Source organism: Homo sapiens, chromosome 5 (genome assembly GCF_000001405.40).
Source record: "Homo sapiens chromosome 5, GRCh38.p14 Primary Assembly".
NCBI classification, from domain to species: domain Eukaryota; kingdom Metazoa; phylum Chordata; class Mammalia; order Primates; family Hominidae; genus Homo; species Homo sapiens.
The window spans coordinates 59,331,198-59,357,927 of NC_000005.10; the positions used below are offsets into that span (position 1 = coordinate 59,331,198).

The 26,730-nt window shown below is 36.3% G+C and overlaps 1 protein-coding gene across 28 annotated transcripts in view; it reads right to left on the reverse strand.

Moving 5' to 3' along the window:
* Positions 1 to 26,730, reverse strand: part of PDE4D (phosphodiesterase 4D) — a 1,553,091-nt gene that overhangs the window by 362,160 nt on the left and 1,164,201 nt on the right. The window contains exon 1 of one of the 28 annotated variants that reach the window (NM_001197219.2): positions 25,561 to 25,773. The exons of 26 other annotated variants lie outside the window; for them this stretch is intronic. In NM_001197219.2, coding sequence (NP_001184148.1) covers positions 25,561 to 25,649 — 89 coding nt within the window. In that variant the 5' untranslated portion in view covers positions 25,650 to 25,773. Of the gene's footprint in view, positions 25,774 to 26,730 lie in introns of those variants that run through there. One more of the 28 variants, XM_047417298.1, reaches the window with a different exon arrangement.

Sequence of the window (26,730 nt, forward strand, 5' to 3'; positions counted from 1 at the left end):
CCTAGGGCTGCCATTACAAAATACCACAGACTTAGGTGGCTTTAACAATAGAAACTTATGTTTTAAAACAGTTCCGGAGGCCAGAGGACTGAGGTCAAGATGTCAGTGGGGTTGGTTTCTTCGGGAGACCTCTCCTCTTGGCTTGTAGATGGCCATCTTCTCCTCATCTCCACGTAGTCTTCTCTGCGTGTGCGCGTGCATCTTAATCTCCTTTTCTTATAAAGACACCAGCCTTGTTGGATTCGGGTCTACCCTAATGATCTCATTTTATCAAAATCACCTATTTACAGGCTCAATCTTCAAATAAAGCCACATTCTGAGGTCCTAGGTTAGGACTTCAGCATATGACTTTGGGTGTGACACAATTCAGCCCATAAGCCTCATGTTTTCCCTATGGTATGTGCTCTCAGTCCAGAATGACATTTCTTTTCCAGAATCATTTTGATAATCTATAGAAAAACTGTTCCACAGCCACAGAGCCATCCTTAAACAAAGTCCCTCTGTTCAGAATCCAAGGCCTGTTGCCCCATGTTAAATTTATGTTTTCAAGTTCCCTTTCTTGCAATTCTAATAAAACACAGTCACTCTGAATCTCTCAAACACAGGCTTCTATTTCCTACTTCTTTTGCTTCTACTTAGGTTTTCTGTCTCCAAGAATGAAATTATCCTTCAACATTCTAATCAAATGCTAGCTTACTTTAGCGCCAGCTTTTCTCAGTCTGAGATATGTTCTTCCAAACAATCATGATTCCTGGTTCTTAGATCCATGGCCCATTTACCTGGCTCTCCTATTTCATTTACCTTTCTCTGTGGGTTTCCCAGTTCACCAAATCATAAGTATCTATGAATAGAGAGCTCCTTAGAGCATGGCTACTGATAAATCATTCACTGAGTTGACTAAATCCAGGCAGTATGACATCAATCATTTCAGAGGCAATATGATGAAAATATTTCAAACAATTATTATTTATTCTTGTTTTTATCTTGTAAACATGGCATAAATCAGATTTTGATGACCAATGGTCAGTGATGGTTTTTTTTGGTTATTTTTCTTCCCAAAACAGCATAAAATTTTTACTTTAAACAATTACAATATGTATGTATATACTTTATTGAATTTTTGGTGACATTTTTAAAAACTGAGAGAAACACTGTTATTTTTATCCACATTATGAGATGGAAAGCCCTGGGGTCCATTATGAGTGACATGCTTGCCTAATGTTTTGCAAGATCTGGCTTCAAGGCACTCTTAGATAATGTCTAGTTTATTTTCCACTCTAATTCACCCTTTCCAAGATTTACTCTGTATTTGATATAAAAAATCTTAGTTCTTCTCCATTTTCCTGTCCTTAAGACACCTTAACAAATTGACATTAGGCTTTAAAAACTATACATTAATACAGGCCAAATGTGGTCGACAATTTGATTGGCTAGCCCACAGTCTTTTCCAAACTTCTTCATCCTTGCTATCTTTATTAAAAAGACCAGAAAACCAAATGTTAACTTCCATCTTTCTGCACTCAAGATGACCATGTGTCATAGTTCTGGCTAAAGGGCTGTAAGCTCTGGGGAAGGGCTTTGTGTTTCTTATAAGTGGGGTAGATACAACTTTAGCTGGCCATCCTCTCTCATCCTTCCTCCTTCCCTCTCACTATCTGTGACACAGACATGATCATCTGGACGTGCAGTAGCCATTTGCCATCAAGAGGAACAGGCCAAGAAAATTGTGGAGATGCTGCCTCTTTGCAAATGGTGATAACATCATGCAACAGCTGAAACACCTCCGGTGCCACCTACTTAAAAGTAATTCCTATTTGTTCAAGCTATTGTGAGTCCAGGTTTCTGTTATTTACAATTGAAAGCATTGAAAACTGATATACCAAGCATATCTGTTGGCAGTTTGAGTTTTCCTCAAAGGAAAACTCTTTTGTAGCCATAGAACATACTCTATAATCAAAATCCAGTTACAAATCCGCGAATCCAGTTCTCTAGGTCAAAAGGAGGCAAAAGAGAATGAGTTGGCTGTTTTCACTATAAATCACTCACCACTAAGGGGATCTCTGTTATCTTCTTTTTTTTAATATGAAGGGCAGCATTTTTCTTTTCCCTCAGGGATTGTTATTAACTATTTTCTGGATATATCGAGAAGGGGGAAGTTACATTAAAAATTAGACAGAAAGGGGAGACTTTTCACTTAAAGTTGTGACAACCTTCACTTAAAGTTATTGTAACATGCTTCTTGGGAAGGAAGAAGGCATAGGATGGCATAGCATGTCAAGGTCCATCTGCTTTCTTTTGATTTTCCCTGTGCAGAATACCTCATAACTGTGATCCATAGTTGGCAAGAATCCCATTCATTTCCAACAGAAATCCAGGAAGCTTAGTGTGTCTCTCTCCAGTTCATTATCAGAGCAATTAAAATCAGCAGTTTTAATGCTGCTTAAAGGGCTTCAGATTTTGTAATTTATGTAGCCTAAGGCAAGATTCATTTTTTATGGAGAGATTTTGATTCCATCCTAAAGAGTTCTAATTAAAGACTCCTTGGGGAGTTTTTCTTGATCTGCTGGATTTAAGATTCTTTAGTAAATAACCTGCTAAGATTATTTCTGGTGGGGATAATTTATCTTTAATTTTCATATCCTAATTATATTTCATACATATCTTGAAACCCAGGTCAGTAATCTCATTAAGTAAATATAAAATAGTATATAATATACTATAATAAAAATGATGCATTGTTAAAAGATGTATGCAAATCTTTAAACCTGCAGGTCTTGTTTATGAGGATCCAAAGCTGAAAAGTCTTTACTGCTACTTATTTGAATAATAGCTACCTTCATATGCTTAATGTTAAGTTATAGGGTTTTCTTTTAGGTACTAAGTTTCCTCATAAAAGGCATACAATCATTATATCTCTGAGTGTTTTTAAATTTAATAGTTTTTTTAAATTGGAGTCTGATAGCCTTTATAGGATTGGCCACTTGTTTGATAATATCAGTGCTAAGGGAAGAAATTAGGGGAAAAAAGTTGGAAGAGAGGATCCAGTGGAGTTTTTTTTTTTTTTTTTTTTTTTTTTTTGGAGATGGAGCCTAGCTCTGTCACCCAGGCTGGAGTGCAATGGCATGATCTTGGCTCACTGCAACCTCTGCCTCCTGAGTTCAAGCAATTTTCCTGCCTCAGCCTCCCTAGTAGCTGGGACTACAGGAACCTGCCATTATGCCTGGCTAATTTTTGTATTTTTATAGAGATGGGGTTTCACCACCTTGGTCAGGCTGGTCTCAAACTCCTGACCTCAGGTGATCTGCCCGCCTCAGCCTCCCAAAGTGCTAGGATTACAGGTGTGAGGCACTGTGCCCGGTTGATCTAGTGAATTTTATTTGAAGTTGTGTTTGTAGTGTAAGCATGTTGATTATACGTATTTAGCTTTTATGTTAGTTGTGAGTATGTACACTGGGAAAACTAGTGCCTCCCAACCAACCCTTGGTACCACCATTGTTTTACTTAGGTTTGTAGAGAAAGCAAAACCATATTAATATTGGAACAGAACTTGAAGCGGGTCTTCTCCTCACCTCCCCATTCCTAAAAAAAAAAATCATTTTTATATTCTATAAATTAATTACATTCTGTGTGTCTCTTCCATGGAAGAGATCAACCTAATAAGAATAACAGAAATCATCTAATCCTTCCCATTTCTTCTTGAAATGTTACTGGTACATATGTTTTTCCTTTTCCTGAAACCCATTTGCCTCTGCTTTTCACTTGGCTAATTCCTATTCACTCCTCATTTTTCAGCTTATACACTACTTCCTTCCAGCAGCCTTGATTTCCCATCCATCATATTAATTGGTTCTCTCCTTTCCTGGGATCTTTACTTCTTCAATGCATTTTATCTAATTATGCATTTAATCATGGGCTGATATGTTTAATGTTTTTCTTCGCTATTCCTTTGGAAGGCTCATGACAGCAGGAACCATGTCGGTATGTTTACCACTGTGACCTCAGAGCACAGTCCAGTCCTGGCATAGTATAGGTGCTCAATAAATACTAGTAGTGAAGATCTCAGATTGCTTTCCTGTGCCCAGAGCATGGGAACCAACTCCAAGAAGCAATAGCAATAGGAGACTTCTGACAGTAAAATCTCCATTTTGCAGAGGAAACAGCTATGAAGGCAGAAAGTGCCCATAACTCAGGAAAAGGGAGGATGGCAAAGAACTGCATCTATTTCACAGTCTTGCTCAGGGTCATGGCTGTGGTTATCAATCTTTGCCTCTAAAAATACATAGTTTTTGCCCCTATGGGTGGTCACTGCTTAGTCACTGCAATGGATTTGAACTACACAACCTACATTTATCACTTTTACCCATTTAAGACCAACTTAAAGGCAAAAAGAAGTAAAAGAATGATGAAGACTTTTTTTTTAAGATTCTGCAGTACCTTCATAAGTGTCTCCCTCTCAGGGATGAAGTAAGAATTGCTCCTTTAAAAAGTGTCTTTCTGTGAAAGGACCGGAAAATTCCTAAAGATAGAAACTAAAAAGCTAGATGGCAGCAGACTGCCTTTCATGTCCCTATCAATGAATAGATTGCTAACTAACAATCAGGGGCATTGTTCATATCAATAATATAAATAGTTCAAAAGACTCCAGAAATAAGTTCCTAAGGCACTCCCAGCCATTTGGAATAACTATGGCTTGGAAATTTTCCCATCTTTGTAATTTTGCAAAAAATGATCTAGACTAGAGGTCTATAACTATATTCAGATGATTCCTATTCATAAACTGAGAATAAAGAACAGACCAACTTCAGTAACAGTGACATTGCTGGGAGAATAAATTGGCTCAAGAAGTAACAACAGCAGCAAAACGGTTAAGGCACTTCAAGGTAATCAATTTAGCTCTATCGCTTTTTGCTGTGACTCTGAAGGAAGTTAATTGAATCTCTGAAAGTAGTATCTTGCTGCCTGGAATTGGTACCCACAAGCTTCAAATAAACTATTCCATGAAGTTTAAGCTGTCCTTGACAGAAAGAAGGGCACAATCAGCTCCAAGCCATTAGGGAAGGTATAATTTCACAAGGCAAGACAGCCAAGGAAAGTGATCCTCAAAGGGAAACTTTCGTAGAAAAAATTTTGTACTTTCCTGTCCCCATCCATCAGTAACCTCAACAGAGCTATTTTTGGATTGTTTCCCTTTATTCCTATTGATGACTATTATTATATTTTTGAAAATGTTTTTGTTAATGTTGTTAGAAACTGGTAGGTTAATGAAACTTTAGCCATGGTTGTTGTTGTTAGAAGCAGGTGTAATTAATAAAAGTTTAGCTGTGAAGGCCAGGCATCTCAGGGTTCAAACTTTAGCTTATTGACTACTTTTTAAGCTATGCAACCCTTAGCAAACTGCTTACTCACATGACCTCTGTTCTCACAGCTGCTAACAGAAGTGGTGGCAGTGATAATAATGTTGAGAATTGTTTTGAGGTATAACCAAATTACCATGGAAAATGCCTAGCAAAAGTCCAGGCTTATAGTATGAGCTAATTAATATATCAAAATCTCATTCCTTTCTTTTTTTGGCTTTCCTTTCTTCTACGGCCTTCTCCATCTTCCAAGACCCAGCCTTAGTAGCAGATGATGACTTGGGTCTCCTGCCTACCAAGAAGCCCAGTGCGCTGGCTTCCTGACACAAGACATAGCCCTGTTAGGGAGTCAGGAATCTATTTACTCAATGTTCAGTTCATATTAGAATGCAAATGCTCTTGCAAATAAAAAACATTAACTCATGTCTAATTGCTTATCTACACTTTCAGCACTTCTTCATTTTTTTAAAATTTTACTGTGAGCAGGCTCTAAAAAGAGAATATAGCAAGAACAAAGGTTTTGGCTTTGATGAGGAAAAGTGTGTGGAGAGAACACAAAAAGAGGAGAAGGATGAAGGAAGAAGACAGGAAGGTCTCAAAACCTGAGCTCCTGCAGCAGTCACTCCACTGAACTAGCCCATTCTGAGCTTGTCCAGTTCTTTTGTAAACCAAGCTTGCATGCTTCTTAAATTGTCAATGGTTAGCTTTTCATGGTTCTTAAAAAACTTAAATTTTTAATGATGCTGGTATAAGTGAAAGGCATTCATAAGTTCCCCCCCCCCCACCTTTTTTTTTTTTTTGACACGGAGTCTCGCTGTCGCCCAGGCTGGAGGGCAGTGGTGTGATCTCGGCTCACTGCAGGCTCCGTCCCCCGGGGTTCACGCCATTCTCCTGCGTCAGCCTAAGTTCCCCTTTTTAATAATGAAGGTCATAAATAGGAGCAGTCAACAGCTAACATTTTTGCAGTATTTACCATGCAGTAGACACTGTGCTGGGCACTGTACATGATTATCTCACTTAATCCCCACAAAGCCTTATGAGCTATTATTATTATTTCAATTTACAGATAAGGACACTAAACAGAGAGAGAATATACAGCTACCAAGTGGCAGAATCAGCTAATAGGCCATGTGTTGATATGTTCTGATTGCAGAGTTTGATGCCTCTCCTGGGTGAACTCAATAGGACCAGAACACAGTTCTACTAGAACATCTGGTATGATTTCACAATGTCACGTTGTTTTTGCCTTTGAAGTGAATTGGGGTATTCTGAATGGGCATGGGGACATTTTAAGAGGTCATGGGGCACGAGATTAAACCTACAAATGTCATGGGAGCCTCTCCATCTTGTGAACCCTCTTACTAACCACCTTCATTCCCATTTAGGCTTTTACAAAACACATGACTGTAAACTGATTTTCTTTGGTAGAAGAGAGGAATGTTGTGGAGAAAACACTTGAAAAAGTTCATAGGTTAAAAAAACACAAGAACTACTTGTTTCATACATGGTTTTATGTAAATGTCAAAGATAACCTCTCAAATATTCTTTAAGTTTCCACTAATATGTGATATCCCAAAAATGTTGCCTCCCGTGATAATATCTTGCATTCTTCTGTTATTCCATGAAGCATATCTTACTTGGTTCTCACAGCCAACAATCAACTGAGGTAATAAGGAAAGATAACCATAGCCCTGCTTTATAGAGGCAAAAGTGGGATCTCATGCTATATGGCACAGCAGAAACAGAATCTCAAACTAGTATTTAGGCCCCTAGTCCCAGCCAATAACAAGTTTCATTAGCGCAAAAGTTCTTTACCTACACACAGTCTATGGCTTTCTTGGTGAAAATAGTATTCTTGGTGAACTGAATTTTGCACAGGAAACAATGGACTCAGCATCTCATATTCTTGTTTAGTGTATCTTAGGAATCATGTGCATGTCCAGTCTAAAGCAGCAGGTTGTCTAAAGAGTGTTCGGCTAGGCAGTGCCGAAAGACTGCACGTCATTAGCTTTTGAAAGTCATTACCATTAAGTCCATGTCCCTAAATTGTTTCTTTCTGTGAGGAAGGCAGAGGATCATATTTGAATCCAAGATCATCGAAGTATGGTAGACATGAAAGGCGTGTGGTTAGGGCACTAGCAGAACTCAAGAGCAAGTATGCACTTTCCAAGTTCCCAGGGGGCAGGCTGATGGCAGAAATGTCTAATTTGAACAAAACTGCTAAATAACTTGCTTTTTTACTTAAATTCCTACAAAAATTTCCCACTGCTATAGCAACTATTAATGAAAGTCTGTTTTTATGCTTCTCGATGACATTTTTAGCATAATTTAGAGAAAAAACCTCAGAAAATAAAAAAAGTAATTGTAAGACATATGTTATGAAAATATCTTATGAAATATGTTATGAAACTTTTGTTCATTATGTAACCAGTGCCAAATTTGCAACCATTTAGGTCTCTGATGGTGATAACTTATTTATCTTGTCATTACTTTTCCAAATCCCAAGTCCTACAGAACTGTAGCTTCAACTAGAAGCCAAGCCCTACCTTTGTCCTACACAAAAAGAGACCTAGACTGTGAGCAGCCTCGCTACAGATTTCTTTGACTCCCTTTGGATCACACACTATGAATATAAGAATAACCAAGACATGCATCCAAGTTTATTTTTAAATTCTAGTTTTGCTTTTTCTGATGTAGCAAAAAGTGAGTTATCTGAGCATCAAATTACATATTTTCCTGAAATATTTTATATTTTCTCAAAGCCATTTTCCTTAGTAACTAATAATGAGAGATGATAGAAGGCAATTTAAGGCATCTCAGCATTTCCAAATAGCATTCTGTCTAAGGTTAGTTTCAGCATGCAACTGGTGATAAATGGCATATAGATGCATGTGCAGGGGAGGAGGTGTTCTGTGGCAAAAGAAGTTTGAGAAAAAGATTTTAAAAAGTTAAACAGTTTTTTAGCAATTCTCAGTGCCTTTAATATGCAAATCAATGAATCATGTTTAAGACGGTAACGATACATGCAACATTTCTTAAAATGATTTAAGTATAGAACCATTATTTGCAGAGCAGTTGCAGGGACCAGTGTTCCATGGGCACACGTTCGGTCATGTGGGCTCAGGAGTCACACAGACCTGAATTCCTATTACAGCTCAGAGGAGCTGTGCGTCCTTGAGAGAATGATTGAAGCACATGGTAAATGTTGGTGTCTTAGCCTCAGTCTCTTGAGGTTAACAAAAGGTCACTGAATTCAAAAATACTAAGAAAACTACATTATATTCTTGACATTCAAATGCATCTTCACAAATCCCCTAATTCACTAATATCACTCTAGCATTTACTTTTCCCCTAGAAAAATTTAGTGGGTTTTTTTGTTGTTTTGTTTTGTTTTGTTTAAAAAAAAAAAAGCAATTCTCATTGGTGCATTAATCCCTGTTGCTTTACAGGAATGTGTTCAGTCTTCTCACCCTCTCTGGAATCTCATTTTCATCAACAGCCCCTATTTGCTAATGTTTTAATTCTCTCTTGATGAGCACTTTTGCATTGACTGGCACACTCTACAGAAAGTTCCAATTTTTTTTCCCTAGAAACAAGCACAGAGTGAACTACGATGGACTTGCTCATAAAATTTGATCTCATTTATCACTTTAAATTTTATCCTTTTAAAGAATTAATAATTTTCTTAGCTGTTTTTGCGTAGTGTCTACTGTCTAGATCAACGCTGTTCAGTAGAAACATAATGTGAACCATGAATGATGGCCACAACATGTAATTTTAAATTTTTAAAAAGCCATATTACAAAAAGTTATTTTTACAACCAGGTGAAATTAATGTATTTACTTTTTACTTTTGTGGGTACATAGTAGGTATATTTATGGGGTACATGAGATATTTTGATATAAGGCATACAATGCCTAATAATCACATCAGGGTAAATGAGGTATCCATCACCTCAATAATTTATCCTTTGTGTTACAAACAATCCAATTATACTCTTTAATTAAAAAATGTACAATAAATTATTGTGACTGCAATCAGTCTTTTGTGCTATCAAATACTAGATCTTAATCATTCTATCTAAATATATTTTTGTACCCATTAACCATCTCCACTCCCACACCCCTGCCACTCACTACCCTTCCTAGGTTCTGATAACCATCTTTCCACTCTATCTCCATGAGATCAATTGTCTTCATTTTTACCTCCCACAAATGAGAACATACAAAGTTTGTCTTTCTGTGTGTGGCTTATTTCACTTAATATAATGACCTCCAGTTCCATCCATATTGTTGCAGATGACAGGATCTCATTCCTTTTTGTGGCTGAATAGTACTCCATTGTGTGTATGTACCATATTTTCTTTATCCGTTAATTGGCTGATGGACACTTAGATACAACCAGGTGAAATTAATTTAAATATGTTTTATTTAACCCTATACACAGTATTAGTATTTAAACATGTAATCATTATGAAAATTACAAATGAGAAAATTTTTACTTTTTTTCACACTATTATTTGAAATCCTTTGTGCATGTTACATTACCAGCACATCTGATTTGGATTAGCCACAGCTCAAGTGCTCTATGGCTACTAGCTCTCTTGTTGGACAGCACAGGCCTAGATTAGCAGTCAGCTTCCTTCTGGGTGGCATTTTTCTACACAGGTACAATGTGTTTATCAGTTCAGAGTTATTACATTTGCAAGGGAGGGTAGAGAATAATGAAATTATATTGTGATTTGAATACTTGGTGGTGCATGGGTCCCTTCAATAGTTTGGTAACTTAAATCCACACGAGAGCTCCGTTGTACTTTGGATCAAATTACTCCCTGTCATGAAGCATCAGAGTCCCTTATAATAGTCCACACCACAAAAGCCAAGGGATTTTTGTAATTGTTTTACAAGTAGGAAAAGCAATAACAGTGATTTGAAATTTTTACAAAGTTAAATTCTGTAAATATATGTTGAATACAAATTGTGTACTTGACACTTGGCTAGTTCTTAACACTGAAAGTTTTTTAGATATGAGACATCCAATTTTCTTGGCAAAGGTATGTATGTATATATAATGCGTATGCAAACACACACATAATATATCCATATATATCCAAAATACATATATATGCATGTATGTATGCATGGCGTAACTCCTATCTATTTTACAGGGTCACTTGGTTGGTGATTATTTCCTTCTTTTCCTTTGAATCATGGGCACTATAGAAAAGCATAAAATCAGTCTTGTTTCATAAATTAATTTTTCTATTCAAACTTGCACTTATCTTTGATGGAAAGAAATGTATAGCCTATTCTTGTGAATAACGCTAGCTGATGTGAGCTGACTGTTTACTCTATGCCAGGCGCTAGTTTAACGGCTATATATGTATTATCTCATTTAATACTTGAATAACTCTAATGATGTAGGCGCAGAGGCACCTGAAACAGAGCACACTTAAGGAATTTCATAAATGTCATACAAGCTGCAAGTGGAAGAGCCATGATTTGAACTCAGGAATTTCTGCTCAATCATGAAGTGAACTACTCACTTTAAATGCATAGTATTCTAACACTCTCTTTTTAGATAATGATTTGTTAGCTAACCTGAATTAGGTCCTTAAAAGCAATTCTCAAATTATGATTTTACATATCTTTGAAGGTCTTAACGGAAAGGAACTTTGTAAAGATAGTTTTATACTTAGCATAACCTCTCATTTTATTTTCCTTCAAGACAAATCCATGAAAAAATTCAGCTTCATTCCTTATCTCTGACAAATACCAGAATGCACAACACATGGTGCCTCTGATCTGTATCGTTTCCCCTAGCGCTTGCATTCATCTTTGATGTTGATATTTTGTGGTCTAGTGGCTCTTGAGAGAAGACAATTACCTATCTCCTTTGAACCATAAATTACCATATTTGGAGTTGCTTCTTCATATAATTTTTACTAGTCCTTTTTATTTCTCTCATATATAAATTGAAATGTTGAAATGATGAGATCTATTTTTAAAGTACATAAATTTTGGGGAGGAATGGGACAGAGTTTAAATTGTTGACAATTATACATAAACCAGCTGAATCAACTGGGCAAGTAAACATGGGCAAGTAAACTGGGCAAGTAAACCTTCAGTTTCACATTAATCCATTTGTGTGTAGGCATCAGGGAGGTCTCATTCTTGTAACCCCAGAATATAAAATATAAAGTCAGAAGTAGTCTTCATTTTCACACCCCTCCTCTTTTCAAAAAATTCATTTAAAAATATTTAACTGACAAACATTGCATACATTTATAGTGCGCAAGATGATGTTCTGAAATACGTACACATTACGGAAGAGCTAAATCAAGCTAATTAACATATGCATTAACTCACATACTTTTTTGTGGTGAGAACATTTAAAATCTACTCTCTTAGAAATTTTCTTTTTTTTTTTTGGTTTTGTTATTATTTAAAGTTCAGGGATATATGTGCAGGTTTGTTACAATGGTAAATTCGTGTCATGGGGGTATTAAGCCTAGTATCCATTAGTTATTTTTCCTGATTCTCTCCCTTCTCCCACCCTCCCCTCTCTGGTATGCTCCTGTGTCTGTTGTTCCCCCCTATGTATCCATGTGGTCTCATTATTTAGGTCACACTTATAAGTGACCACATATAATATTTGGTTTACAATACATTGTTCTTAATGATAGTCACCATGTTGTACAGTAGATCTCTTGAACTTATTCCTCTTGTCTAACTGAAATTTTATATCCTCTGACCACCATTTCCCCAATCCCTCCTGTTCCCATCACCCCCTGGTAACCCCCTTCTATTATCTGCCTCTGTGAGTTTGACTTTTTTAGATTCCACATAGAAGTGAGATCATATACATCTCTCCTTTTGCTTATACTTACTAGCTTTCAGCCAGAAGAACAATGTTAGCAAAAGGGTCACTTTTGAAAGCTGACCAACCCCTGGTTAAAACAACATATATCAGAATGTACAGCATAAAGTTTAAGGCTTCATAAGTCTAGCAGATTATATACTCAATATACATTTGTTGGATGAATTATTGAATTGGATATAAGTTCACAGGGACATTGAGCTATTCTTTGATATTTCCTGGGCTTGGTGTTGATTTCATGAATGCATGCTTGATGTATGAAGAAATATTTAGGCACATATCTTGGATCATTTACAATTTTCTCATACCTCCATAATGTTATTTCTGTAAGCTTAAAAGGATATTGTAATATACAGTCCATACACTCAATTTCGAATGAGAAGGTTGAGGACCCATGAAGTTAAGGTAACTTGTCCATTGTTGTTTAATGAGCCAAGACAAAAGTGGAAATCTAGTTCAGCCGGCTGCTGCCCTTCCATGCAAAAACTGGTATAGGTCATATTATGATTACCATTTGAATGCAACCTAACAAAATGTTGTGGTCTGAGACTTCATTTATGATAATAATGAAAATTTATATTAAAAGCAAGAAATTACATTTTGCGTGGTGGATTACACAGTACATAGCACATAAATGAAATCTGGAATTGGATTTGAATATTTAAAAGTACATTATGCCTTCATACAAGATACTAAACGTTTTATGGGGGAAGAGGTTTTTCACAAGGGTTATAATAAAAATACTTTTTATCTATGTAGTTGTTCCTTAGCAGTTCCTCAGTAGTTCTTAGTATAACCAAGAAATACTAAAAGATGTATTGGCCCATGCCTTCCCCTTTCCCCAAAGTTTACTGTCATAATGGTAAAGGGTGAGCGAAAAATGCTTGAAAAGCAGCCCATGATCACTGAATGATTCCATTTTTAGCACAAGCTTCATGATATGAATCGAGTGACTCTTACGTAAAAATTACATACTTTTTCTTTTTTTCAGAGATGAGGTCTCACTCTGTTGCCCAGGCTGGAGTACACTCCTGTGATCACATTCACTGCAGCCTTGACCTCCCAGGCTCAAGCAATCCTCCCTCAGCCCCCAGAGTAGCTGAGACTACAGGCAGGCACCATCACACCCTACTAATTTTTAAATTTTTTGTAGAAATGGGGTCTCACTCTGTAGCACAGGCTGGTGTCAAACTCTTGGACTCAGGCGATCCTCCCACCTCACCCTCCCAAAGCACTAGGATTATAGGGTAAACCACTGTGCCCCACCTCGTATGCTTTTTCAAATTTCACGATGTGAAGTATCTGTCTGGTAATAAAGTGATATATTGTTTCACATCATGAAACCCTTAGAATACGTTTGATATTGCTCTAATGTTTACTTATGTTCCCTCATATGCCACAAAGTAGAGAGCCTTAAGATTGGATTTTGAAAGCTTTAAGAAATGGGACCCACAGTTATCACACATACTAAATTTTTCCTGACATCATCTAATAATTAATGATCACATTTTGACATGGTACAAACTGAACCAGGTCAACAAACTTTATATGCCAGAAGCCGGATTGATATCATCAATCAGTTATGGGGAGCTTTGGAGATGACATAAAAATGAGGAATATATATTACCGGAATCTTAACATTAAAAAGACATAATGACTATAATGACAAAAAAGAAAGAAAATAAAGGGAAAAAAACCTTCTTTAAATGCATGGGTAAACAAAATCTTGAAAAAGCAATACACATTTATTTTAGCGTGACTTACACTGCCTATGCATTTACTAGTGTTTTTCAACAGGTTAAGGTGGTTTAGGAAAAGTCCAAAACATATTTTCCAAGAAATAATGTACGGGAAGGAAAACCTGATTTAAAGTGAGCACGGGATATATAGCAAGAACTCAAAGTACGACATGGAAATTTTAAAACAGAATAAAAGATTATTTATTGGTTTTTGCTAACAATGATTACTATTGGTTTGAAAAATGAATCTGGATAAAATGTAGAATAACATCACATATTTAAGCTGCATATGGATCAAACAGGGAAAACTCTATTTCTGCATATCAGATCGTTTCTTATTTTAGTCACTTAATTCACAGTTACATAGTATTCATCATGAGGAGAAACAGACAGAGTGTGAATGGCTCACTGTTACCCACACTATTCCTGGAAAAACAGGTCCTAAAGATTAAAAGACTCAACTGCATAAATAAAAGGCATGATGACATTGTTATTACAGGCAAACATTTTTTAAGATGCCATCACTGAAAATGGATGACCTATACTTTGGTAAGAATGCAGAGAACTGAAACATCACTTTGGGGGCGACATAAATGTGGCAACCAGTATAGAAACACATTTGGCAATATCTAAAGACAAAGGCATAACCTATGACCCAGAAATCCTACCTCTTGGGATATACCCAACCTACGTGTATGCACAAAACACTGCAACACTACATGTACATTTGTTTACTAAGTGATATATCCAATAATGTTCATAATGGCTCTAATTCATAATGGCCTAAAACTGGAATACTTAACTATCCATCAACACTAGAATAAGTAAATTGTAGCATATTCATTTGGTGCAATACTAACAAAATGAGAATAAAGAATGCACAAAACACTATGAATGAATCCCATAAACACAATATTGACTGAAATAAAATAAGAGTTTATATTGTATAATTTCATTCATATAAAATTCAAAAGTAGTCAAATCTATGCTATTGGAAGTCAGTTAGTGGTTATCTTCGGGTGCATAGTGACTGGAAAGAAGAATAAAGGGGTCCCCTTGGGAGCTGGTAATATTTTGATTTTGACCTAGATGTTGGTTATATGAGTAAATATGGCTAAGCATTTTTTTCTCTCTTACTGGCACATTCACACCCATCATTTTATACCAAATAGATCCTTGCAGAGTGCTAAGGGTTATCTATAAATAGCAAAGAAAGAGAATCCTTTCCATTTTAACCAACATGAGGAAGGCAAGACTGCGAGACTTTTTTTTTTAAGTCATGTAGTGCTAAAACAAACAATAAGCCTTTTAAATTCACTCCAAAATACAGGATAATTTGTTTCCCCCACCGATAATAATTTCTTCTTTCCCTTTCTTGGCATTTTGGTGTGTCAGATCTCCCTAAGGTTTATGTTGTCTCAGTTTACACGGATTTGCTTTAGGAAAAAAACCTGACGTTCCTTGTATGAGTATCTCATCCAAGGGGTTGAAAAGCAGCGCATACAACAGAAGTTGCACAAAGCCGTCCTTGTCATCTTCCACACAGGAGGACAGAGAACAAAAACGTCCCAACCAGTGAGTGGCAGTGCCACTGAGGACCTCCTGAACAACTCTACTCAAAGCATTTTGAACTTTATACCAAGAAACTGAGGAAAGTTAGGAGGGAAAATATATAGTCCTTTTCTAGAACCAGTAAGATGTGAGATAAACAATTATTTGAGCGATGAAATGTTTTCATCTTTTAGTTCATCTGAGATCAGGGCAGTGATACTTCATAGAACCCACAAATAAAAGCTTTTCGTCAGGTACAACCTGAAGATGGCAGAAGGAGTTTTGTTGCTTGTTTTTTTCCTCCACTAAAGTGGCCACTCTTTCACTAGAGAATGTACTAACGTCATCAAATTAATGTGATTCTTAAACAGGACATAAATCTTCCCTTTGGATGGGAACACAAATCTGATTCATTAACTTTCCATTCTTTATCTAAACACTGCCATTATGTGAAAAGAAAAATTCCTGAAAATCAAGGATATTTTGCAGTTAAATCCCTCCTCCCAGCCAGTCTATTTTGTTACCCTATATAAACAAACTCTGCCATTACATTCCTTTATCCATAGCAACTTCCAGTGGGTAATCCACAAATCAATTAAAGGCAAGTTAATTGCCAAAAAGGGATCAAGTGACAAGCATTGGAAGCATATTTATGGGTGCTATTCTCAAAATCTGTGTGTCAGAAAAGTTTCGTCCAGCTAGCTTTCCTTTTAATGCAAGATTTAAAATTTGTATTATTTCTTTGAAAATAAAAAATTAATCTCACAGTTATTCTTAGCTTAAGGTGTTTATGTTTTGTAGGCAGACACAGACACATATTTCAAACAAAACAAGGTTCCTACTATAGGACTATTACTACTGCTACCGATTTTTAACTTCCATTTTTCTTTGCTTTAGTATTTTCTACGTATAAAAAGTTTTGAGATAGTGTGAAACAATGTAATAGAAAGTATATTGTAAACTGCTCCTCTTCCCCCTACATCTTCTTTTCATCTTCCTCCTTGTTTTACTTTCCCTCACTGTATTTTTATAATAACAAAGAAGCAAAGGTAAATTCACTCAAGAGACTGGAGACTGAAAACAAGTCAGTAATGAGGTCAATATTTATATGGTTCCATTGACCTTGTGCAGTTCTGAGTTTCAGGCCTAGAACTACAAATGTACTCACAGATGTATGGAATGGATATGCTTGAACTTATATGCAAATAAATTATCAATTTCTTTGTAAAGGTTTCCCTGGCTTCCCCAAGCAGAACCTCTCATCTCAGTCTCTATTTATTTTATTTATTGTTAACTTGTTTATTTTCTGTCTTTCTCTACCAGAATGTAAACTTGATGAAAGCAGAGACCGCATCCATTTTGTCCCTCACTACATTCTGTTACATTTTTAGGAGTATTTATAAGTCAGTTGTTAATACCCAACAGTTATTAAAAATTAAATTACATAAAAATTTTTAACTATAATTAAACAAATTATATTAAAAACAATGGAAATAAGTATTCAAAACTCATAACTTCTGAATGATTTGGCTACATTTTGTATTATTATGTTTTTGGGGCAACTTATATCTACTGTATCTATATGATAGAAACACTGTATAGAGTACTATGTCTATGTATCTCTTGCCAACTCCACATTTAGTGACCTCTGCTGTTTGAAATGGGCAGGTGAGAGAATTTTTTGGCACAGAAATCAGCAAATACTACAAATAGTGCCCTTCCCCTCCCCCATAGAGAGCTGGTTGTGAACATTTACCACCTGAAGGAATAATCTTTTACATTCTGTTCTGTTCATTTTTGAATGTTTAATTCATTGTCATAACAATTTTAGGGTTTTGTTTTTATAGAGTTTATTTCTTTAGCTCAACACAAAGCTTATCTTTTTAAAGCTTCACTTCAAAGCTTTTTTTTTTTTTTTGGAATGTGGCTTACATACTTGTCCCCTTTGAACTGTCCTTTGCATTTGATTGGCTTAACATAATTACAGTAATATATATTTACTCTATTCACAATCCATCTTTCCTCTTTATCATTTTAGTTTTTCTCTTCCAAATTTACACTATTACCAGCTAATGAATTATATAATTTGAGCCATGTGCCATGGCTCATGCCTGTAATCCCAGCACTTTAGGAGGCTGAGGTGGGAGGATAACTTGAGGCCAAGTATTTGAGACAAACCCGGGCAAAACAGACTCTAAAATATATATTTTTTAAGCCAGGAATGGTAGGGTGCACCTGTAGTCCTAGCTACCCAGGAGGCTGTGGCTGGAGGATCCCTTGAGCCTAGGAGTTTGAGGCTGCAATGAGTGATGATCATGCCACTGTACTCCAGCCTAGATGACAGAGTGAGACCCTGCCTCTAAAATAAGTAAATAAAATAATACATTCAGACAAGTTTTAAAGTAGCATATAGTATTCTTCCTTTGCCAATGGATTTTTCCTTTGCTCTGATTCAACTCTGTGTGCTTATATAACCCAGCCTTACGGAAAATCAGACACCTCTCTTCAGACCCTTGTTGAAATTAAAAAGGCTTGTCAATTATAGTTTGAAAGTAGAAAAAATAATGGAAGTTAGGAGGAGGGAGAGCCAAGGTAGAAGGTGGGTATATGACTGTGGCAAAGAACATGATAGAAGCTGAGGCCTCCAGAACAAGGAGTACCAAGGTAAAGTGTATAGAATTGAATGCTTCCTCTTTTGTAAGAAGTATTCCTTATTTGCTCTGCCCAGATCAGACAGGCTTTGATCCAGCTGCTCAGTCAAGGTACTGTCTCTTAAAATCACTTGATGGGGGCTCATCCACTTCATGACTTAAGGACAAATGGCACTCGTTGAAAATCATAAAATCAACATTATGAAAATAAATAGTATAAATTTTATAAACTACTAATTAAGCATAAATATTCATACCTATTACCCATTCAAAAATGGTATAGTTTTAACTATAGTGAAAACCATTAACACACTGATGATCAGAAATATCCACAGCATGATTATAAACCCTTGGCAGTTTGGAGTGTCTTTTCTTCTTTTGTCACCTTGATTTTTTTGTACATCTCCTGGCATTCCACATTTGCCAGAGCTCTGTGCTGGTCCGTAGCCTGCAGGCCACCTTATAAAACCAATACCTTTATATTTATTGCAGAGTTTGTAATCTTTCTGCCTGTGGTTGTTCCATGTGCTGTCATGATAATACAGAAAACACTCAAACTGTATCTCCCCTCTCTATCTCTGTTTCTAGTCTACATTGATAATTGAGCAGATTCTTTTGAATGTTTGAGATGGGGCTTTCCTTCAATTTTGAAAAAAATGCATATAATGCATTCTACAAAAATGTTGTTTACAAAGTGGTACTTCCTTACAAAAACCCTATTGTAGCTGTTGTAGCAAGTGATTTTTAGACTTGTAAGTAAAATGTCTGAACATAATTTTACTTGGATAAGTCTTTCTCTTATTCAGAAACCTGTCCTTCCATGGTCATTGCCCAATTATGGCTCTTATACACTCTCCTGTCTGCAAGAAGTGTGCTCTGAATCATTCATTCATTTTGCTGCCTTACTGAAAGCACTGAATTAGATGGCATATGTATTGAAGTGAGGGGTGGGACATTGGAACAAAGATTTTCACAGAAGCACACAGAGCCAGGGTTCTAGCTCTGACCAGGCCGCTATCAAGTTGCATGACCCTGGGGCCTTTCAAGGTCTTCAAGCTCTTCAATGTAAGACAAATGAGTTTGAACAAATGAACCATCAGGTTCCTTCAGCTCTAACCCCCTCTTCCCATGAATGTGGCAAAAGGAAGCAGAGTATCCTCACACTTGCCATGAATCGGAACACATTTGCTAATAGGTTCATTCATTCAATACACAAACGCCAAGCACCTAATATGTACCACACACTCTTCCAGGCACTGGCCATACAAAGGTGGAAAAAAGGACAAAAATTGCTGCCATGTGGAGCTTACATTCTATTATTAATAATAGCTGACATTTATTTTAGTGTTGTCTATGTGCCAGGCACTTTACATGGCTAACACACTTAATCCTCATAATACTCCATTTTACAAATGAGGAAACTGAGGCACATGAAGTAACTTGCCCAAAGTCTCATAGCTATAAGTGATAATGTGAAAATGTGAACCTCAGCAGCAGTGTGGCTGTAGAGCTAGCCAGCTGTCAATCATTCCTGCACACTACATTTCCAAGGTGAGCCTGGGTTGTATGTGCAAGTTGCTTATAAGGTAACCATTTATAAGCCAGCTCTATTGTACTATTCTGTGACCAAGAGTGGTACCAATGATGATAGTTTATCTGAAAATGTATTTCACAAAAGAAGCTTCACAAAATTTGTGAAATGTTAGTGAAGACTTGGAAAATGCTATGAAAGAGTTGGCAGGTAGTCCTGCATTCACGTACATGCTTTCATCTAATCTGCACAACGACCTTATGAAGTAGATATTTTAATTTTCTATTTATGTACATGGAAATGGCTCAGAGAGGTTAGGAAACCTGCCCAATCAAGAAAGCAGCAGAGTTGGCACTGAAGCTGGGTCTGTTTGGCTCTAGAGCCAAAGTTCTCCTCCTATACCATGCTACCTCTTCCTACAATGTGCAATGGTTGTTAGTAGTATTGTTATTCTTAGATATAAATGTTGTCTATAATTTCTTTTTGTCAATTTAGCCAACATTACTCACAATTTGAAATATCATTAAGAAACCTAGTTTAATAGTCAAGACTATGCCAGTAGAATAAATAGACATGACACAGGATGGAGTTGACCTCTCGAGCTCAGAGAATCTTCTGGCTCCTCTGAACAGCTGGCCAAGGAGTAATATTTGGCAGTAAAATACAACCACATGACCAATGTTTTTGGCCAGATGAAATGAGCCAGATGGAAGCCCATGAAGCAAAAGCCAGGAGGGGGCAGAAGCAGACAATATAAAATAACGGATTCATTTTCCTTTTTCTTCTTTTTAATATAAAAATACCTCTATTTTGATGCTTTTGCTTAGCATTTCTTTAAACCAACATCAATTAGGTTAGAGGACAGTTTAGATATTATTTAACAAGTTTATATTTTAACTGATTACTAAGCCCTATTCTATAACAAATTACGTGGTGTTCTGTCTTCAGAGAAAAATTCAGAGTTAAGTAGAGGAAGATAGTACATCTGTTAGAACAATACCTCTCATTATGGAATTTTTTTCCTTGTGTGCTGATAATAGGATCTGGTGAGGAAGCTGGAGGTGGGAGAGGGACCAGGAGTCCTGGTTCTAACACAGACTTCCAGAATTCACACCTGTGCAGGTTTCTTAAACTTGCTCTGCCTGGTTTCCTCATTTGTAAGATAAAGGTAATGCTAGATCCACCTCCCGAGGCTGTTTTGGAGGATGACATGCATGAGCTAATGCATGTATGGGATTGGGAATGGTTCCTGGTGCATAGTAAGTGTCCAATACAAACTAGCTCTACTGTTCTTACTTTGGACTTTCTAACCACATATATGTGTGGTCTCTAGTCCCTGAACCTTCAATTCTTCTTCTCTTATTTGATACTAATTACACTCATCTTTTTCACTTACCCTAAAGAATTAAGTGAGATGAGCTGTGGCACACTAAAAACAACAGCTGTCACATCTGTTACATCTGAAAAGCTTTGAAAACTAAAAAGTGCTATGCAACAGGAGGTATTCTTGGGGTATGCAGAAAGTTACATCCCAGTGTATTGATTCACTGGTGGCATTCACTTCCTTTCTAAGATGTGGGTTTGAGACAGCTTTTTCTAATGGGAATTGTGCAGTTTGGTTGGGCAATCACTGATGTGCTACCACTCAGGTTTTGGTAGTAGCAAAGAGTAGCTATGAGACCACACTCTCCTATGATCCCTGTTCATATCAGCTACTATACAATTTCCAGATCAAAGTTGTAGATTTGGTCTTTACTTCCTAATAATATAGGAGGTAATTTAGGGATATCTAGATCTTCTTGTTTGGGCAAATATTGCTTTATCTTTTCATAGCCCAGATACCATTTGTACTTTTGTTTGTTGATCTGACTGTCATTAATCCTTCCTTCTACTGTTCAGTCTATGTCATATCAAATAAATTTACTCATTAGACCTTCTACACGAGGTACAAGCATGCACATATGTATTTAATTAATCACCTGTTTGGCAGCTCTGCTAAAATGCTGGGAAGGAAAAGATGTTGAAACAATTGGCAAAAATGAGATTTGGAGATTTTCTGAGAATTTCTATCCCATGACCCCTATTACTATAAAGGGCAAGAAAACTAGAAGACACTTTCTGTTTCTGGCCTGTGGAATGCTATGGAATAATCTCTGCCCTACATTCAAATGTACCTTGAGTGACTTTCTCTTCTATTTACATAGTACCTACCCCAAACTTGTCACATAAAATGTTCCTTTTAACATCCTTGTGATTTGTTCTCTTTGGAAGACAGAATCATCTCAAGAAGAGTAATTTTCTATTTAAAGTTTCCTTGAACACTACTGTAGTTTTAAGCAATAATATATTTTAAATCACAAAATTCCCTAGTGTTCTCTTATTGGAGTTGTCAGGGTCCACAGGCTTGCTAAATCTTTGCTCCTTGATTCTTTCTTTACTTCCCAGATCGTTTTTCCCCATTTTTTTTTTTTTAGGTACTATGTTTAAACAACCAATATAAACTTCTCCACATTGTTTTCTTGAGCACATCATTCTCCTCTTTCTTCTCTATAATACTTGGGAGGGGCGTTGCTCTAAAGTAATTAGGTGAATCTTTAAACATGTGTGCCAGAACCTAGGCAGATAAATCAGCACCTTGCCCTCAAAATTAGTACTCATCTTTGTAAGTGGTGCCCTAATGCTAACACTGATCCCATTACTGAAAACATGGTTGGCAATCTCTTCTGGGCTCACAGAGAAAAAGTACCTTCCTTATTATGTAACCCTCTGCTTTCTCTCTTTTTCTCTTCCTCACTCCTCCTTCCACGGCCCTGCTCCCCTCCTCTCCCCTGCCTTTCCTTCCCTCTCCCTCTTCTTTTCTCTTTCAATCCTTCTTTCTGCCTCAATCAAACTTAATAAGCTATATATTAATCTTTTCTTATAAAAATGTATTTTACCCACATAAGATAAAAAATTGTCACAGCTGAAAAACTTTCACATCTATTTTGAGCATTGTAAAACTGTTTCAGATTGTATTTCTCAAGAGTCAACACTCATTAAATGTATATGATTTGCTATTACTTTAACAAATCAGACACTAATTGAATTTCATATCTTGTACACCTGGCTTTCCTTTAGCCTGAATATTACCAGGCAGCAAAAGCCATGCCAAGGAAAAATATTCCAGTTAAAGCTAAGTGTACCCCCAGTAGCATGCATTATTATCCATTCAATAGCCAAAGAAAAATGACACTACAATAGGCACATTTGAAGATTTTACAAGATAAAAAATATTGCTCATAAAAAAAATTATAAGGGAGAAATTCAATGAAGAAATGTTGTCCAATGTCCAGTTCTTTCAGTTGCTTCAATAATGGAATCAGATCCAAAGCCTCTTAAAGGTCAAGATAAGCTTAAGTTACTTTCACCGCGTAAGGATTTTGTATATTTTTTAAAAAATAAGAAATGCAAAAACAAGGCTGTGACATTATGAGATATTTTACATGTTTACATCAAATAGTTTAACACCTTTAATTCCAAGAATGCTATGCAATAAAACTATGCTCTTCAGAAGATAATTATAGCATTTAACTGTGCGTGCATGTGCCTGTGTGTGGTGTGTATATGTGTCTGTATATATATAGAGTGACTCATGGTGCATTTGAGGTATTATGGTATGATAAAAATTTTAAGTTATATGATATGTACCTTTTTTCATTATTGTCAGTACATTGTCGTGGCTGAATGCGTAATCTCCTTTGGATACATGAGGGACCTGCAGAAATGCAAGAGCCAGTGGCCAACTGCCTTCCTACCTCCCTAACCCTTCCACTCAATTCAACTTATGATAGATATGATCATATCAAGTTGGCTATGCCAATAAAACATTATCGGGTGATGCCAAATAAGAAAGGGTAACAGAATACTTTATCAAATAGGCATTACTGGCATTTTTGCTGTATGTAAGGAAACTTCTAACCTCAAAGAGTTTGCAGTGCAACTGGAAAGATAAACTAGAACCTCCAAACAGTGAAAGCAGCACATATAAAAAAATTAATTATTCTGTGGGAAATTGTATATTCAAATTAAGAGGAAGTAAAGGAAGGACTGAGCCTCTCAAGCTTCCGAAGGAAACTGACTCATGATGGATATTTGAGATGTCATTCTCACCTCTTAAACTTGTTACAAATGAAACTTGTTAAAATTACAGATGTGAGGTATTCAAATACATGAAAAAGTCATTCTTAGCTGCTAATGCTTATATTTTGGAAAGGGTCAGAACTTGACCAAAGGAACCTTGAAAAAATATATTTATCATATAGCTTTAAATTGTTACAATACCATAACACCTCAAAATAAAAATATCTTTGCCAAATTGAGAAGGCAAGGTTTATAATATATTTGCAAACTACACAGAAGAGCTTAAACTCTGCATTTCGTGAGATTTCTCAAATTCATTAGTCAATCAAGCTATTGCTTTTACTTTATTCAGCAGCTGGAGATTTATGATATTAAGGAGCTTGTTATCAGATCTAGTGATGAAGAGAGCCTAGAAGCCACCATATGTTGGAAATATGCACAGTAATGTTAGCAAATCATTGATGTTAAGTTCTAAATGTACAATTTAGCATACAATAAGCATGAGAATCACATTTAACAAAATGCAAAGCACATAGGAAGCATATAATTTAAAATTTTCAACTAAATTTTATAGCTGTAACAAACATAACAAATAAATCATTATTTTATTTTGAAATAAAAATAAATGGAGTTAATACCTATACCTTTAGCTGGCAAATTATATTTACCTCTTGCCAAAGTTTGCTTATGCATTGTTATACAAAATTTTTAAATTTGATTTCTCTGATTTTATAGTTCCCTAAAAATTCCAAGGACATTATCTTCTTTAGTGTCTAAAGCAAATAATTAATCCTTATAAATTATTTTAATTCAAACTTTGAATGTTTTATATGCAGGCAAATCAGAACACATTTTAATTCAGTGTTAATATATATTTCTACATAGGCTTGGCAGCTTCCAGATGTGCTGCATTTGGTCTAAATAAGAAAGACCTTATATCCAAAATTTTGCAAACAATGTCACTTCTATTTACTATTGATTAAATAGATACCTTTCAGTGCTATAGATTGTAATCAATCAAAAACAGAAAAGGTTTTCTTTCTAAACAATAATAAAGAATAATCAATCTTCTCTTTATTAACACCTAGAATACTCAAATGAAGAAGGAAATCCAATATTTTTTAAGTGTTTTCTTTCTTTCCAGTTATTTGGTTAAAATAAGCTGATTTTGTTGTAAAACAGTCATTGACAGTTTAGTGAAGTCATGAGGTCAAGATTTTTAATATGACTTCCAGAAACAAAAGATTATTAAAATATTTAGTTTGAATTCATGACATGTAATTCTGCTGGGCAAGATGAACACTGAATTACTACCTGAAACAGCATTAGTTTCCATTTTTTCATGTGCATGTGCCCTGAAACACTTATGAAGAATAATGTAGTGTTTTTTTTGTTGGTCAAACAAGAACCCTTCCCTAACATTTAGAGTTGACTGTATTAAGCCATTAGACAAGTTAATACACTGTTTTTCAGGTGGCAGTAATATGAATGCTTTGTTAAGTTTGCCATTTAACTCTCAGAATTAGCTTTTAAAGTTAGTCAACTTCCTTCAACTTCTGCACGTACCTACATACCCCTATTTCAAGGTTTACATCATCTTCTTGGCTCTTATTTAATATATTGTCAATTTAACAAGCATTAGGAGTTAGAAGGTCAACATAGGGCAAAGGCTTATTTGCAAGGGGCCTAAGGCAGTTAAACAATTCTTCCTAGCTACAAAAGGAAAAGAGTAATACCTGTAGGACTTTGAGAAACGCAATCTTGATTTGGCTCTTGTAGATGGTCCTGGCACCGTGGCTCCCAGAGGATCCCAAACAAAAGCCATTTTTAAGGACGATGCCAAGATCCCCAGGAACCACGAGAAGTCAGAGCTGGTGCGGGGCTCTGGGGCCCTGAGGCCCCGCACGGAGCAGGAGGCACTTGTAGCTGAGTGAGGGCATTTCCTTTGTGCAGTGGTATGCGCTGACAGAGAGATGGCAGGCTGGCTGAGGCAGGGCTGGAAGGGATGGCCAGGACTTCCTGCTGCATGACACTTGGCCTTTGCGACAGAGTTTGCTTCACTCAGGCCTTATCTCATAATTAACGTGAGAAACACTCCCTCGAAAATTTGTTTTTAAATATAGCCCTGATTAAACAGCATAGTCACATGCCACTCCTGAAAAGCACAACACACACACACGCATGCACACACAACAAAAGGTGTGATTGAAGTGGGTAAACCTTTATATCAGTGTGAACTTTAAAAAATGTAAACCCACAGGGCTTCGTTAAAAAATTTTAAAAAATACATGCCTATGACTGGGTCATCTGACAAAGATTACTAAATTTCACACAGCTAACTGCCAACTATAATTTTCCTTATTTCAACTTCTCTTAAAAAGAGATGGATATAATTCTTAGCCAACCTTCCACAGGATGTAAACAGGATTTACTCGTCTTGAAAATACCAGCGCCTCTCTAAAAGTCAGTGTGAGAAAAAAAAACAGGCAGATCACTTTCAGAACTTTTGGCAGCTTTGCCCTCAAGGAGATGCTGCGTCACCTTAGAGAGTGAATTACAATGCATGACTCTGACAACAAAGATCAATTATCTTGTCCATTTTCTATTCCCTAGAAACATTTCTTAACTCTGATAAATCTGTTAAAACAACTTTCTTTCAAATTAAATAAATGATGAAAGCCAAATAGAATCCTTCATATATTTTATGAGTCCAGGACATTTTGGGAAAGCATCTATTTCAAGAAATTGTACCCAAGGAGTCAAAGGACCCTAGTGCCGTCATCGGTCCTCACCACTGAGTGGTATTCAATGTTAACAATGCAGCATAATTTCATCAGTCTGTATCCAAACACTGCCCCGCGGGTGACCTCAACTGTAAACCAAGGGAGAGCGCCACTTCTTCAGGA